General features: G+C 39.9%; 1 long non-coding RNA gene across 2 annotated transcripts in view; it reads left to right on the top strand.

The window, feature by feature from the left end:
* The first annotated feature begins 12,876 nt into the window (after positions 1-12,876).
* The window catches only part of LOC105369743 (uncharacterized), a 178,153-nt gene continuing 176,730 nt past the window's right edge, over positions 12,877-14,299 (top strand). For both annotated transcript variants that reach the window (XR_944886.3, XR_944887.3), the window contains exon 1: positions 12,877-12,999. This is a non-coding gene — a long non-coding RNA (uncharacterized LOC105369743). The remainder of the gene's footprint in view (positions 13,000-14,299) is intronic.

The raw sequence follows: 14,299 nt of genomic DNA, 5'->3' as shown, positions 1-14,299 counted from the left end.
AGGAGAGGGGACAGGGAATATTACATAGGGACACGTAGGCACTTTTAATGTCTCTTGTTTTTACTTGAAGATGGAAAGGTGCTGGAGAATTGAATGGAGTGACCTGATCTAACTCACGCGTGAAACAGAATGTCTCTGTTGTTTTGAGAATAGATGGGGGTGGGAGGTGGGGCACTATGGAGAATTAGGTGGAAGCAGAGAAGGCAGTTGGGAGACTTGGGAGAAATGGTGGATGCTCAAACAAGATGGTAGCAGGTAAGATGGTGAGAAGTGGAGTTATTCTGAGCTTACTGTGATGGTAAAGTCAACAGGATATTGACTGATAGATTGAATGTGGGATGTGAGAGAGAGAGAAGAAATGGATGACTCCAAGGAGTCTAGATGACTCAAATGAGGGTGACTGCAGGGGGAGGAGATCAAGAATTTTGGTTTGAACACGTTAAGTGAGCAAGCCCTTTAGAGATCCAAGTGAACATGATGAGTGGGCTGTTGGGTAGACAAATATGGAGTTCAGGCTAGAGAAGTGGGCTGAACCTTTTAATGTGATCAGTATGTAGTGTGTACATAAAGCCATGATACTGAACTCTTTGGAGTCATAAGAAAGACCAGAGGCCCAAAGGATTGAGCCCTGGGACTTCCAGTGTTCAGTGTTGTGGAAATGAGGAGAAATAAACAAAGGAGACTTAGAAGGAATATCCAATGAAGTAGGAGAAAGTGTGATCTCCTGGAAGCCAAGTGAAGAAAATGTTCCAAGGGAAAAGAGTGATCAGCTGTGTGAGATGATGCTATCAGGTCAAGAAAGGTGAAGACAGACATGGTTCACAAGGCATAGCAATATGAAGGTCACTAGTAATCCTGTTAAGAGCGGCTTTGGTGGTTGATAGAGTGGGTTCAAGAGCAAATGGGAGAAGACATATTGGAAGTGGTGAGTGCAGACAATTCTTCACTTCCTCATTAGTGTTTTGCTCAGTGTTCACCCAGACTATTGCAATGGGGTTCCTACCTCAAATCTTGATAATGTCTTTGGCAGGGCACTCAGGCTTACAATTTGGCTTCAACAAACATTCACAGCCTCAGCTCCTAATAATCTCTATTCTTTACCTTGTTCCCAAATGAGATCCATTTATCTTAGTGCCAGGAGTTCTCTCAAGCTTTTGTAACATTATACATGCTCTTTCTCCAGCAAAAACATCCCAACCTTAGCCTTTTCAGCCCAATGAACATCTGGGCATCCTTTGAGATGCAGTTTAAGTATCACCTCGTCTGATAAATCTTCCCTGCCTCTCCTGGTTGACTGAGAAAGAGAAATTCCCTTCTCTTTGTTCCTGGACCACCTTATTTTTTATTATACTTTAGCACTTATCACACCATCATGCTCAACTTGGCCACACCTTAGTCACCAAAATTCTAAAAGACTTATCATGAAAGCTAGCATTAATTGAATGCTTATTATGCTTTGTGGTTAACCCTTTGTCTTCTTTAAATAGCTCTATGAAGTAGTTACCACAATTATCTTTCATCTTACGAATGAAAAACTGAGTCTTAGAGAAGTCAAGAAACCTGATGATAACCACACTAAGTTTGACATTCAAGATTCAAACCTACGTCTGTCTGATTTCAAAGCCCATGCTTGAATTAACTACACCAAACTGCTGCCCCTGAGATAGATACTAAAATGCCTGGGACTTTGCTCCACGTACTACTGTTCAAGTCTAAAGAATTTGTGATATAAAGTCAGCAGTCCATACTGGCATTGCCCAGTGGAACTTTCTTTGATGATGAAGATGTCCTATAAATCCACATTGTTCAATATGATAGCCAATAGCCACCTATGGTTATTGAGCACTTGAAATTTGCCTGGTACCACTAAGAAGCTGATATTTCATTTTATTTAATAGTAATCCACTTAAATGTAAATGGTTACATATGGGTAGTGGCTACTGTAGTGGACAGCACAGCTCTAGAAACTTAAGCAACTCTGGATAACCTATTACTTGTACCCTGTGAATACAAACTTAGGTGAATACAATCAACTCTGAGAGAGTAATGGAATATTTTTTATTCTCTTACTTTGCCTGTAAGAATACCCATGACCAAAACTACCATATTATGCAGAATGTAAGACACCGTCAATTTTCAGATGTATTATTATTTTATGTATTACTAAGAAAACATACCATCAGTTATAATTGTGAGATACCATTGTCAGACACACCCCAATTTCAGAGATTTTTAAATGTTGGGCAAAATGCATCTTAGAATCAATAAAAATGGTATTTTTTTTCAAGACATGAGGTCTTGCTCTGTTGTCTGGGCTGGAGTGCAGTGGCACAGTCATACCTCACTGTAGCCTCAAACTCCTGGGTGTAAGCAATGCTCCCATCTCAGCCTCCCAAGTAGCTGGGACTACAGGTCTAAATCACTGTGCTCCCAGTGGTATCTTAGTTATTTTGGTGATTTCCTGGAAATTTCTTGGATGATTTTCAAATGTCATTTTTTTATATTAATCTCAAGTATAATTTAGGTCACTATTATCATAGAAAGTTAAGACTGGACAGTATTATTTCCAATTTAGCTTAATTTTTATAGTCAAAATATCTGGCAGTAGGAATTGAAATAACAACCAAAAACATTGACAGATTGTTCTTAAAATCATCCAGAAATGATACACTCTATTAATATTATGGGTGGGACCTAGTGTGTGGGCATCTATTATTTTTTCATTTATTTCTCCACAACATGTTTTCATTTAGTTTTACTGTTTTCTGGTTCAGTACATCATACAGCTTGTCTAAGTGCTAGAATGTGTAATGTGACTAATATAGAATGCAATTAACCTCAGAACCAGTTGATGATGTGTTATTTTTCTTGTGATATTGTGGTATCATCATCATTAAAGTTACTTAAACCTTCATTTTTTAGTTCAAGACCATCTGAATGGAATCTTAGGTTTATCCAGTCTTGTTCTGTAACCTTTATCTAGGCCCTCTGTAATTCCACCTTCAACTTTGGAGACATCTTAAAAACCAAGGCACAAATCTGGCTTCTATCACTGGAACCATCTCCAGCTTTGAAGGACTTAAACCCAAATGGCATGTCTTTTAATATTTAGAGAATTAAGTCCTAATCCATCCTGTTTAATGCTTTTCACTGTATTACTTAAGATGCAAAGAAAATGTCCTCTCCTTTACCCAGCTGCAACAAATTAATAAGTAATTTCAATCAAATAAGATCATTTTTATCCTGAAATTCACTCTATATCCTCCAATGCTTTGGACTCGATAAAATTGATGAAATGTGTGTGAGCTTTAAAAAATACCTGAGGCTTTGAATTCAAGATGACCCGTGACATATGCGTTTTGGTGGCATTTTTAAACTCCTGGGCAACAAAGGATTCTTATATCTAATAGATAATTAAGTTTTCAAACAGTGTAGTCTTTGGAAATGATTACTTAAATCCAAGAACAGGGTACAAGTGAGAGAAAGGTGCCACCCACCAGGCAAAATTAGAAACACTCTGAATATGAGTCATGGGGCCTTTAGAAACCATAATTCTAAGAGGGGAAACAAGACAAAACAAAACAACAACAGAGAGAGTTTGGAATCCTTTATTATAAAGGCAAAGAGCCAGTTATCCAACCACTCTTGCAGAAGGAGTGGGAGAAACTGAACCAAAGCCCAGAAGTCTATAATACCTCTCCACATACACACCCACATTTATTTATTTATTTTTTTAAAAGTTAAGTGCTGTTAATAGTATCAGTTGTCAACATTACCTTGCACCTGATTGGAGTTTTGAAATTCTCAGTGGTGCCAGTCCCTGTAAATGACATTAACAATCCACCGGCAGCCTATTTTACTCCCTCAATGAAAGAGGAGATGCATGGCATATGTTAAGTAACCCCCTGTTTTATTCCATAATTAACAGAATCACAGTAAGTATCACTTCTGAGTACCTCAAGAAGAAAGGCAATTTTGAAGCAATTTTTTCCCTGGTACCTTTTTCCGTTTTCGTTTCAAGCAGTACTGTATTATACCTTACCTTTTCTTTCTAACATATTAAGTGCTAATTATACCCCGTGGGTACACCTTGGCTGCTGTGTTAAACACATCTAGAGTTGTTTTCTTATTACCATGAAAAAAAATTTGACATGAAAGACAACCTGTGGAGGCACAAGGGGACATTGGAATAAACCTCTGTAATTTAAAGGGCCAAGCAATTCAAGGATGCTGAAGGATAGGATTGTGCTCAGAAAGAGATGCAGTAAGGTCTCTATTGTGTGGGTTTGTTTAAATGAAGAAGTGAAATGAATATTATGTAAATCAAAATGCCCCTGGAAGTGAGTGTGTGTGTGTGTGTGTGTGTGTGTGTGTGTGTGTGTGTGTGTGTGTAGGAGAGGTGGGTTCTGTGCTTTCTTGATCTACACCTCTCTGGTATTTGCTGAATATACTGCCTGATTATTTGACACCTAACACATATTCCACTGTTAGTACTTCTGCAGTATGATTTTCAGTGAATTCACTCAGGAAATAGACTACTCAGCATTTTTCTATAACCCAACTAAAGTGTAATCTCAGACCATTCAGCCCCTTGACCTGGGTGGCCTTTGGGGCGTTGCTGTGTTGGCTGCTGTTGAGTTTCTTGGTTTTGGCATTGTCAGCCATCCATGCGGGCATCCAGGCTGAAGTCCTTATTCCCATGGATGCACTCTCTGCTGCAGCTCTCAAACCACATCTGCACTGCTCTTGGGCATCTGAGACGCATTCTCCGTCTGTCTTGGGCACCCCTGTTTAGACAACTTCCGCAGATGTTTCTTCTGCTCTCCTTTCAGGCTGCCATAGAAAAATCCTGAGTTCCACCTGGGAAAGGGGTACACAGGGCCCTCATTCATGGAGTCTCAGAGCCTGTCTCGTGCTCATGTCATGGCCATGTGCCTCAACTCCTCCCTCCTGTATCTGGGCAAGTAGAAGAAGGTAAAGCACCTCCAGGCCCACAGCTCAAGGCCTCTTTGTTTGGAATAGAATTGTCCTGACTTCCCTATAACACCCCTCTCCATTGTTGCCTCCAAACAGCCCCCTCACCCCCAGCCTGACTTTTACATTATTATGTATTCTCCACATCTTTTGTCCTCTGCCCTGAGTTTACTGGGTTTAGGTTTATACAATTTAAAAAACAAAGCATCTGAAAATCAAAAGCCTTGGATTTTGGCTGAATCTTCTCATCCCCAAGGGGATAAATGCTGTGAGAAAAATAGCAAAAGGAGTACTAGGAAATGAAGTGGGTCAGTAGGAGGGGGAATCACAATAAAATCCCCAAACACTGTTTCATCACATTTTTCTTTAAAAAGTCATACCCTTCATTTCTCTATACAGAGTTAGATTCATTGAAAGCAAAAATCAACATACTGTAGCCTGACACACGCTTGTTTGTGGAGAGGAAGCGCTTTCTTTGTCTCAGTAGTTCTGGGCAGGCTGAACTGTCTGCTCCTCCGCTCATACATAGTAACTTCCTTTTTCTCAGAACATAATTGCTAGTCCCCTTTGGTTCAAGTCTCTGCTCGGATCACATTCTCAGGGGTGTAAGGAAGTTCCTATGATGTAGGAACTCATTTCTGCCATTTTTCCTCTTCTCATCGGAGTCGACTCCACTAGAGCAACACAGCTTGCCTCTGGCTCACCTATCCTTGTTCAGACTAAGGATGCTACCTGGTGGAGGACATTAGGCAGAGAATAGCCATAGGCCATGGTTCACAAGTAGAGAGAATTCATCTATTAAAAGGCTGCGAGCATTGGAGATTGGGTTTCTTTTTCCTCTTTGCCCTGGAGCAGAGCAAGGCTGCAACCCTACTTAAAGTACATCTGCCCTAGACTCCCAAACCTTCCCACAAGCTTGAGTCCCGACATCTGGGGCTGGGAGTTGGAAGGGAAATAGGGTAAAAAGTGCTTAAGCAAGCCCATTTGAGTCTGGATCATTACCATTGCAGTTCTATGGGTAGCAAAACTGACATCTCAATCTTGACCAATTCCTGAGTCTGATTCTAAATTGGTTCCAAACTTGAGTTAAAAGGGGGATTTTATTTATTGTGTCCTCCAAAACCTCAGCACTGGACACTGCTAGCCAAGAAGAGGAAGTGGCACTGTGACAGATTAACATCTCTTGTAGATGATGCAGAAAGAGCTCTGAGCCTTACTGAGAACCCTCAGCCTCTAGGAGAATAGGGGCATTACTTGGAGATAAGTAATATCTACTCTATAAAAATGTCAGTCCCTATGATTAGAATAGAATTGGGAACTTGGGCTTATGAGTTAGGAGTACCTGTGTTTAAGTTTTAGGTTTGACATATCCTATTTGTGGGTTCTTTGACAAGTTACTTAAGTTCTTTGAATCTTAGTTATCTCACCTGTAAAACGAAAATAATATTATCTGTGTTAGAGGGCTATTGTCAGGATTAAATATGATAATACATGAAAAGTTCTTAGAACATGATAGCTCAATAAATATTAGCTTTTAATTTGTATTAGTGTCACAATTTAAGTAATTTTTTCCTAAGCATGTGTACCCCCTCAAAAAGACCAAAAGGGCCCGGGTGTGCTCTCTTACCTTGTCTAAAGCGCAGGGTAAGAGGAAGTATTCTGCCACAGAGAAAGCATGTTCTGGACTACCTCCCTAAGACTTCTAATACTTTTACCTCTGGGAATAAGGTCTCTGAGTGTAACTGAGTACTCCCATTTTTCTAGAGGTGGTTTAATTATTATTTTTCAAATCTCTCTCTCTCTTGTTTCCCTGACTCCCTATTTCCTACTTAAGCCTTCAGAACTGCAAATATAACCTTTCACCTCCCCTCACCAGACATTCCCTACAGCCTAAGTTCTTCTAACTAGGTGCTCCAAGACAGATCTTGCCTCCAGAATTGACAGTGGCTTTGCAGACCAAAGCAAACCCTCCAGGAACTTTCACCCTCCAGGGGTTGCTTGGAAACTCAAATCCACTAGGAGAGCATCTTGAAAGCATGCCCACTTAGCCACTTTTTGTTGTTGTTGTCGTTGTTTGAGATAGAGTTTCACTGTGTCGTGCTGGTTGGAGTGCAGTGGTGCGATCTTAGCTCACTGCAACCTCCGCCTTCTGGGCTCAAGCGATACTCGTGCGTCAGCCTTCCAAGTAGCTGGGATTACAGGCACCCACCACCACGTCCGGCTAATTTTTGTATTTTTAGTAGAGACGGGGTTTCATTGTGTTGCCCAGTCTGGTCTCGAACTCCTGAGCTCAGGTGATCTGCCCGCCTCAGCCTCCCAAACTACTAGGATTACGGGCATGAGCCACTGCACCTGGACAACTTAGCCACTTTTACAACATACTTCTGCCCAGGAAGGCACCAACTCAACTGCCTAGTAAACGACTGCCTGGTAGCAGGGGGACCCCTGCCCTTGCTCATTTCCTTCCTTATCTTATAAAAATGCCCACTTTCTGCTCCAAAGGTGAAGCGGCACATGTAAAGGCAGGATACTTTATGCCCCTTCCCCTAAGCTAGCTTTGGAATAAATTCACTTTTTTTGCATAAGACTCCATTCTTGTGAATTGAAGTGTACTGTTGTGTGGTGAGCAACTAGCCCACATTTCAGTTAACATGAGGACAATGTCAAATAGTTGAAATATATCTTCTTTGTTAATAGAAGAAGTTACTGGAGTTGAAATAGCCTCTACTGTGCTGTTCAACTTTTGATATATGTTATGCAAATAATGCTTCTATAACTTCCACATATATTTATCTCAAATGGAACTTTGAACAAATCTTTTAAGTGTTATCTAATTTGGCTGCCCTCTCAATTGGTGTGCCTAGACCTGTGTGTAGATATAAATGATTGAGAGTTGACTGTACTATTGGACTTGATCTATGTATTTGGAAACCTAAAATATCTAAACTTTTTGTAAAGTTTTACTTTTAGAAAAGTTTCTTTTACTAGCCTTTAGTGAAAAGTTACTGTTTGTATAATGTTGAAAAAGTGGCTCTCAACCAATAGGATGAAAGTGAGGGCAAAATTATTTATTTACTTAATTCATTACAAGTAAGATTTCTTTCTAGTCAATAGATAACTGACTGCAATTTATAATCTAATGCTGATGGAGAAAAAGTTAATGGAAATTTTAGTGAAAACAAAATGGTAAATAACAGTAATGGGTGTCTGAGGACCTAATGCTCCCCAGATTCTGCTTAACTCCTGAAATTTCTAAACCAGAGGATGGTTAGAGAATAGTAGTAAAACATAATTATGCCACATGAAGGGCATTTACCATTTGATTTCAGCCCAATGGGCTTTTCTTGAAACAACAAGAAAGGCTTACAGAGCACAAATTCAGGAATAAGCTGTATAGTAGAATAAATAAATGAGTTTCTAAGGTGGGAAACATAATTGGAAACTTAATAATGTTTTTAATTGGTCCTATAAAGACCATATGGGAGGCCTAGTTCCTGCCCTCTAGAAGTACTTTTGTCATTTGACAACTTTCCTTCATTTTTATTAAGCTCCAGGCTTCTGAAGCCTAGCAGAGTAATTTGCACAGAGCAGCCAGCAAGTGAATATTTGTTGCTTTGGTGGATCCAAGGACACTCTTGGGGAGGCTGATCTTTCGCTACTAGTGAAACATGAATGGTGTTTGAAGGGAGGTCAGACTTGACCTGCTGCTGTGCTGTTAGCTGTAATTTCACTTTTTACATGTTTAGTCAGTTAACACAGGGATTCACCATATATTTCAGATATCTCACTTGTTCCCAATTATTTTGGAGCCACACAACATTCCAAAGCAGCTTCCAAACAGTGCTGGAGAATTTGCTTCCATGGCTACCTTTAGGGTCAGTCAATGCCCAAAGAAGAGGATTAAGAATTTATTAAAAGTGTTGCCTACCTAGAATATGCTTGGTTAAATTTTACTAAGTATTTGTGGAAGGCTTTGCTTTTCTGTATCTGGGAGTCTCCTAGTTGGTCTTGACGATTCAATGGCAATATCCCCTTTCTGAATTTCTCCCAAACTCCACTCAAAGCAAATTTAGTGTCTCCTCCACAGTGACTCAGTAACACTCTGTAGCTCCTGATATATATGGTGTCATAATTACCTGCTTAGAGATTATCACATTGTTTTGAAATTATTTGTCATCTAACTTAAGCTCCTTGACATTCACCTTGACATTAGCAATTATTGGTCCTTGGTTTCACACCTGGCAAATAATCAGGAATCAATCAGACCCTTGAAGGTGCTCTGTAAAAATTAGTCAAATAAGTGAATGCCAATATAGACTCAAACCCGGTTGTTTGTAAAGATGCAGTACAACACTGTGTACATCTGATAAATAATTTACTGGAGCAAATGAATGGCTCCTAAGTTCAGTTTGGAAAACCACACCTATGTGACTTTTCTGGTTCTGCAGGCTGCAGGTGTTAATAAGCAAAAATTTCCTTAAGCTGTGGGTGGACCTGGAGTGTAAGTGAGGCAGACTTTCAGTGAGATGGAACCTAGTAAACTTTTTTCCACTCCAGAATGGGCATTTGAAATTAGCTACCTCTCAGTCCTGGAACTTAGGCTTATCTATGACTGACTCCAGCCATCATTTTGAACAGTTTATCATTCTAATTAGAGAATATATTTGATCACCTCTGCTCTGCATACACTTCTCTATTAAAAGCACTTACCAGGAAGTAAGTAATTTGTTTCTATGTCTGTGGCCAGACAAGACTGTGAAATATTTGAGGGTGAAGCTTCTGTCTTGTTTATTTCTATATTTCTATTTTCTGATGTGGTGCTTGGTATATAGTATATAATCAACAAATAGTTTTTGATGGAAATGAAGAAGGGCAAATAGATTGAGAATAACTCCCTTTCTTTGTCCACTAGCCCGAATTGTGTTTTCTATACTCACCTATTCTTTGTGGTTCTGTGTCTGGGTCACTTATCCAAAATCAGGCTTATAAAGCCAAACATTTAAAGTCATACACAAAAAACCATTTGGTATTTCGATAATTATTTTTGAGTGTTTAGTATGTGCCAGGTGTTTTGAATACAAATATGAGCAAGACATGGCTCTGAGCTCAATGAGCACATCATATTATTAAATAGCACATAATGGCAGTCATTAGTTAATGGTCATCACAAGCTAATGGTTTTACTCAGAATCCAGCTACCAATAAGCTCTTGGATGCCCTGAGAAATTACTGAGATGGAACAATATTTGTGTAAACCATGACTTAAGGGGAATAAAGTACCATAACATTTTCCCATACTGGAATTGTTTTACAGAAAAAGTGTCAAGTCCTAGAATTATGAATATCAAAATTTTCACCAACACATACCCTTTAGTAAACAAAAAGAAATAGGAAATGTATAGTTTTAGTGCAGCCCTCACTTCAAAAGAAGTAGTTTATTTTTTTGAATATCAAATGTCCCGTTGATAGGTCAGATGAAACAAATAAGGGTCTTTTGAGTTCTTTTTTTAAGAAAAACCCACAACATAATATGGGGAAAAGTTCATATTTAATAATTTTTTCACATACAGAGGATGTCTGGGAAGAATGCTGATAACATCATATTGTAGATTCACTTGTATTCTCAGCAGGGAGACCCTAATTGCCTTAATGATGGAAGACAGGAGAAGAATGTACCAGCCAGAATGTTGGTACCAGAACTGAGTAGCAATTTTCTCACTTACAATGTTAGTACACGGCAATCTGTATAGTGGAGTTACGTCTTACACAAGGGTTGAGTTCTAAAGGCAGAACATAAAATAAACCTTTTATTAATCTTATCTTTGGAAATCCCTTAGGGAAAAGCCTAATGTTGGAGGTGGAAGTGGCTATAGAGTGCATTAACTTGGTTAAATTAGGACTACATTTTCTAGAATTCCCTTCTATGTATGATTCTGGATTAGAATTAGATTCTGGGCACAAGAAAACTTTGCACACAGTTTGCAAGGCAGAGAGAAGTGGCAGCCATTATGCTTGTCAGGTTGGTTAAAGGCACTCAGAGCTACAGTGCTTGTGTGCATCGCTGATCTACTGCCTCACCTTGCTGGCTACAGGGCTGCAGCTGAGCCTAAGGCTTCTTCAGCTGTGGCCACATCTCCTCCTTTAGCTTCTCTAAATCTTGGACTACTGCATGTGTAGTTCCATGGTGAAAGCCACCAGCTCCTCCTACTACAGGTCTCTAGCCTTGACCAGGCTGCAGATGGTCAGATGCAGATGTGGGTTCCATTTTGTTCTTTGGGTTCCAGTTGTCCTTGTGGGTTCTGGTGTGTCCTTGTCCTCCCCCAGTTCACATCCAGCTTTTCTTCTCAATATCAGTCTTGCTGAGAAATCTCAGGCCCACTATCAGATGCTGAAGCAACAGCCTTCCATAGATTTCTTTACCAACTTCCATAATTGGGTAAGCCCTAGTCTTTGTAGCCCTTATTCTCTGTACCACTCATAGTGCTTCTGCTTATCTGCCTGAGCCCTAACTGACACAGAGACTATCATACAACTAGTAATAAGTCCACTGACAGGATTTTCCAGTTTCCTGTCTCTACCTCCACCCCCACCCCACTGGGCACCTGATGAAGTAGTTGGCTTCAATTTAAGAATCATGTTGTTAAAAAAAAAACATATCTTTAAACCCAAGATTCATACTCAGTGCAGTAAGATGCCCACACAGTGAGAGACACTTACAAACTATGGGAAAAACAGATTACTGTTGCCCATCTCAGTCTCACTACAGAGGATAGCTCATTGAGTGGGAAGAGTGTGCAAAATTAGCCAGACCTATTTAAGCTGTTTCTCCTTTTCCTTTATCTAGCATATGTGGCTGCACTTCAGTAAGTAAAATGTGCATATAACACAACTCACTTAAGCATACTGACTTTATCATCGGACATTTTCTTCATCTTCTTTTTAGTTTTAGTCTTGATGACTCTTTGCCCTCAGGTTTTTTCACCCCAGGTGCCCTTGCACTGTAGGAAACTGAATTCCACTCTTTCCCTCTTCTTCCCCTCAATCTCCTTGGGGCCCTCCTTCAGCTTTAATCTCTCTTCCCAAACATCTACAATTTGAGATTTGCATGATTGCTACTTCAAAGTTGTAAACTGAGCAAATTATATCTGTGGATTTTGTTACCGAAGTGAAATGAGCATGCCCAGGCCATTTGAAAACTTCATGGGAAACACTTCCAGTCTTAAAAGGATTATAAGAGGATCATGATTTATCCTATTGTTCAGTAAGAAGAGCAAAGTTTCTTGGTAAGCAGATGCTTGGAAGCAGATGCTATTTCAGTATTGGCACTTCAGGATTGTGTAAATCTTGTTCTTGGCTGTGAGTTTTAATTAATGAACTGCCTACATTAAGGTTGGTTTTCTTGATTTATTGAGATTTTGTTTTACCTTCATTCTACTTAACTAAATCCACAAGCTTCAACCTTGATTTACTGCCTTGTTTCAACTGAAAACATAGTTCCCTAAACAATATTTATAACTTTTTTAATAGGACAGTTATTGAAAAACAAACCTCTGTTCGCTATAATGGTATTAGAAAATTGTAAAAATTCAGTATCTTATTGTTTTCATCTTCTCACTTCCCTTCCTAAAAACCCACAGGGCTCCTCATTGCCTAGAAGAGAATGTCTCAACCTTTTTTTTTACCCAACACATGGCCCAGTGGTTTTCACTTGGCAGATAAACTCCCACAAGCTTCAGAGTCCCAAGGAGGCATACACTCAGGATTCTATTTGTAACCCATATCCCTCGGCCTCGCCAGGGCAAATGAGGTCACAGTTTAACCTAGTGTCTCTTGATTGATGATCTCCACCTGCGTGAGAGTAGGATGCCCTTCTCAGGTTTCTTCTAATTTCTTTCAGGGAGTCTCCAGGGGTATTTCACATGGGCTCCCAGCCCTCTGCATGTGCCTGGGCTGTTTCTCAGTTCCAGCCTGTTGATCCCTGCACTGGCCAAGGGCTGATGCTTCCCCTGCCATGCTGACTTCAAGGTGAGTTACTCCTACATTACTGGACTAAGAACCGTCACAGGGCCTTTCTTAATTCTTCCCAGCCCTGTGGAGACCAGGCTTTTATGTCAGCCAAAACTTTACTGAATGGTCAGGAAAACAGAGGAAATTACAGCAAAGAGACTTAAAACTGGTTATTAAATATGGAGGCTCTTGAAGCCATCCATTGTAACACACCATTATTCTGGGGTGCCTTACTTAATGAGTCCTTGCTGTAGGGTTTTGTCCCCAACTAGATGCCCACTTCCTGTCCTGCAGAGTATGTCAGCTACCCTTAGTACCACTTACGCAGTCTGAATATTTGGAACTGCAAGCCTAAGAGGGTAAAATCCAGAGGGGATGAAATCCTTTATCTCCTGTTTATGGTCTGCCTTATCAATGGTCTCTCCCAGTCCACAGATCTGCCTTTTGCCAGAATGACTGTGAGTGAGAAAGTCCTCTCCCCTTAGGAGAGACCTTAATTCCTATCCACAGGTGGGGCTTTGCCTTCAAAGTAAACCATAGTGTAACACTGCAGTCCAGCTCCATACAATGGATACACAGATGTAAGAGCATCATTCCCTTATGTTTACCTCTTCCAAATTACAAAAGAAAGGATGGCTCCTTCTTTTTTAATTTCTCAAAGTCTTGGTTGAGTAGTTTCAAATAACATCAAAGCTAGACCAGCTTCTCTTTAAGCTTTTGTCTAATATGAAGGGAAAATTGTGCCTACGTGTTCTTCCTGAAGTCTCAGTCTTTAATGTCCCAGTACCAACTACTCAACTAGAAGCTCACATATCTTTATGAGACAAGCAGTTTCTTCTTCAGATTGTGAGGTATAATCTAGATTCATACTTAGAAGGAAACCCACGTCCTAGGGAAATTATTTGTGGACTATACATCTGCTTTAAACATATAAAGTCTTTTGCTTTAGGCCCATAGCTTCTCAATTTGCACAGTTAAATAGCTCACTGATGTGTCAGTTGGTATAGACAAGATTGTGCTGAAATAATAAACAATCCTCAAATTTTAAGTGGCTTAAAATAAAGACTTCTTTCTTCATTTATGTTGTATATCTATCTAAGGTTGTCATGGAGGATATGTTCACCGTAATTACTCAAGAACCTGGGGTGGTGGAATAGTTTTCTTGTCAAACATTGCCAGCCTCTCTATGATAGGAAAACAGAGCTTCAGAGGTTCTTGTATTGGCCACTAAGTGCTTCCAACTCAGGTATACATCCCTCACTCAAACACAGAGGAGCTGGGAAGTTCAAACCTACAATGACACCACCCTGACCCTTTT

Source organism: Homo sapiens, chromosome 12, assembly GCF_000001405.40.
Source record: "Homo sapiens chromosome 12, GRCh38.p14 Primary Assembly".
In the NCBI taxonomy this organism is placed as follows: domain Eukaryota; kingdom Metazoa; phylum Chordata; class Mammalia; order Primates; family Hominidae; genus Homo; species Homo sapiens.
This window is presented reverse-complemented; position numbering and strand designations above follow the sequence as displayed.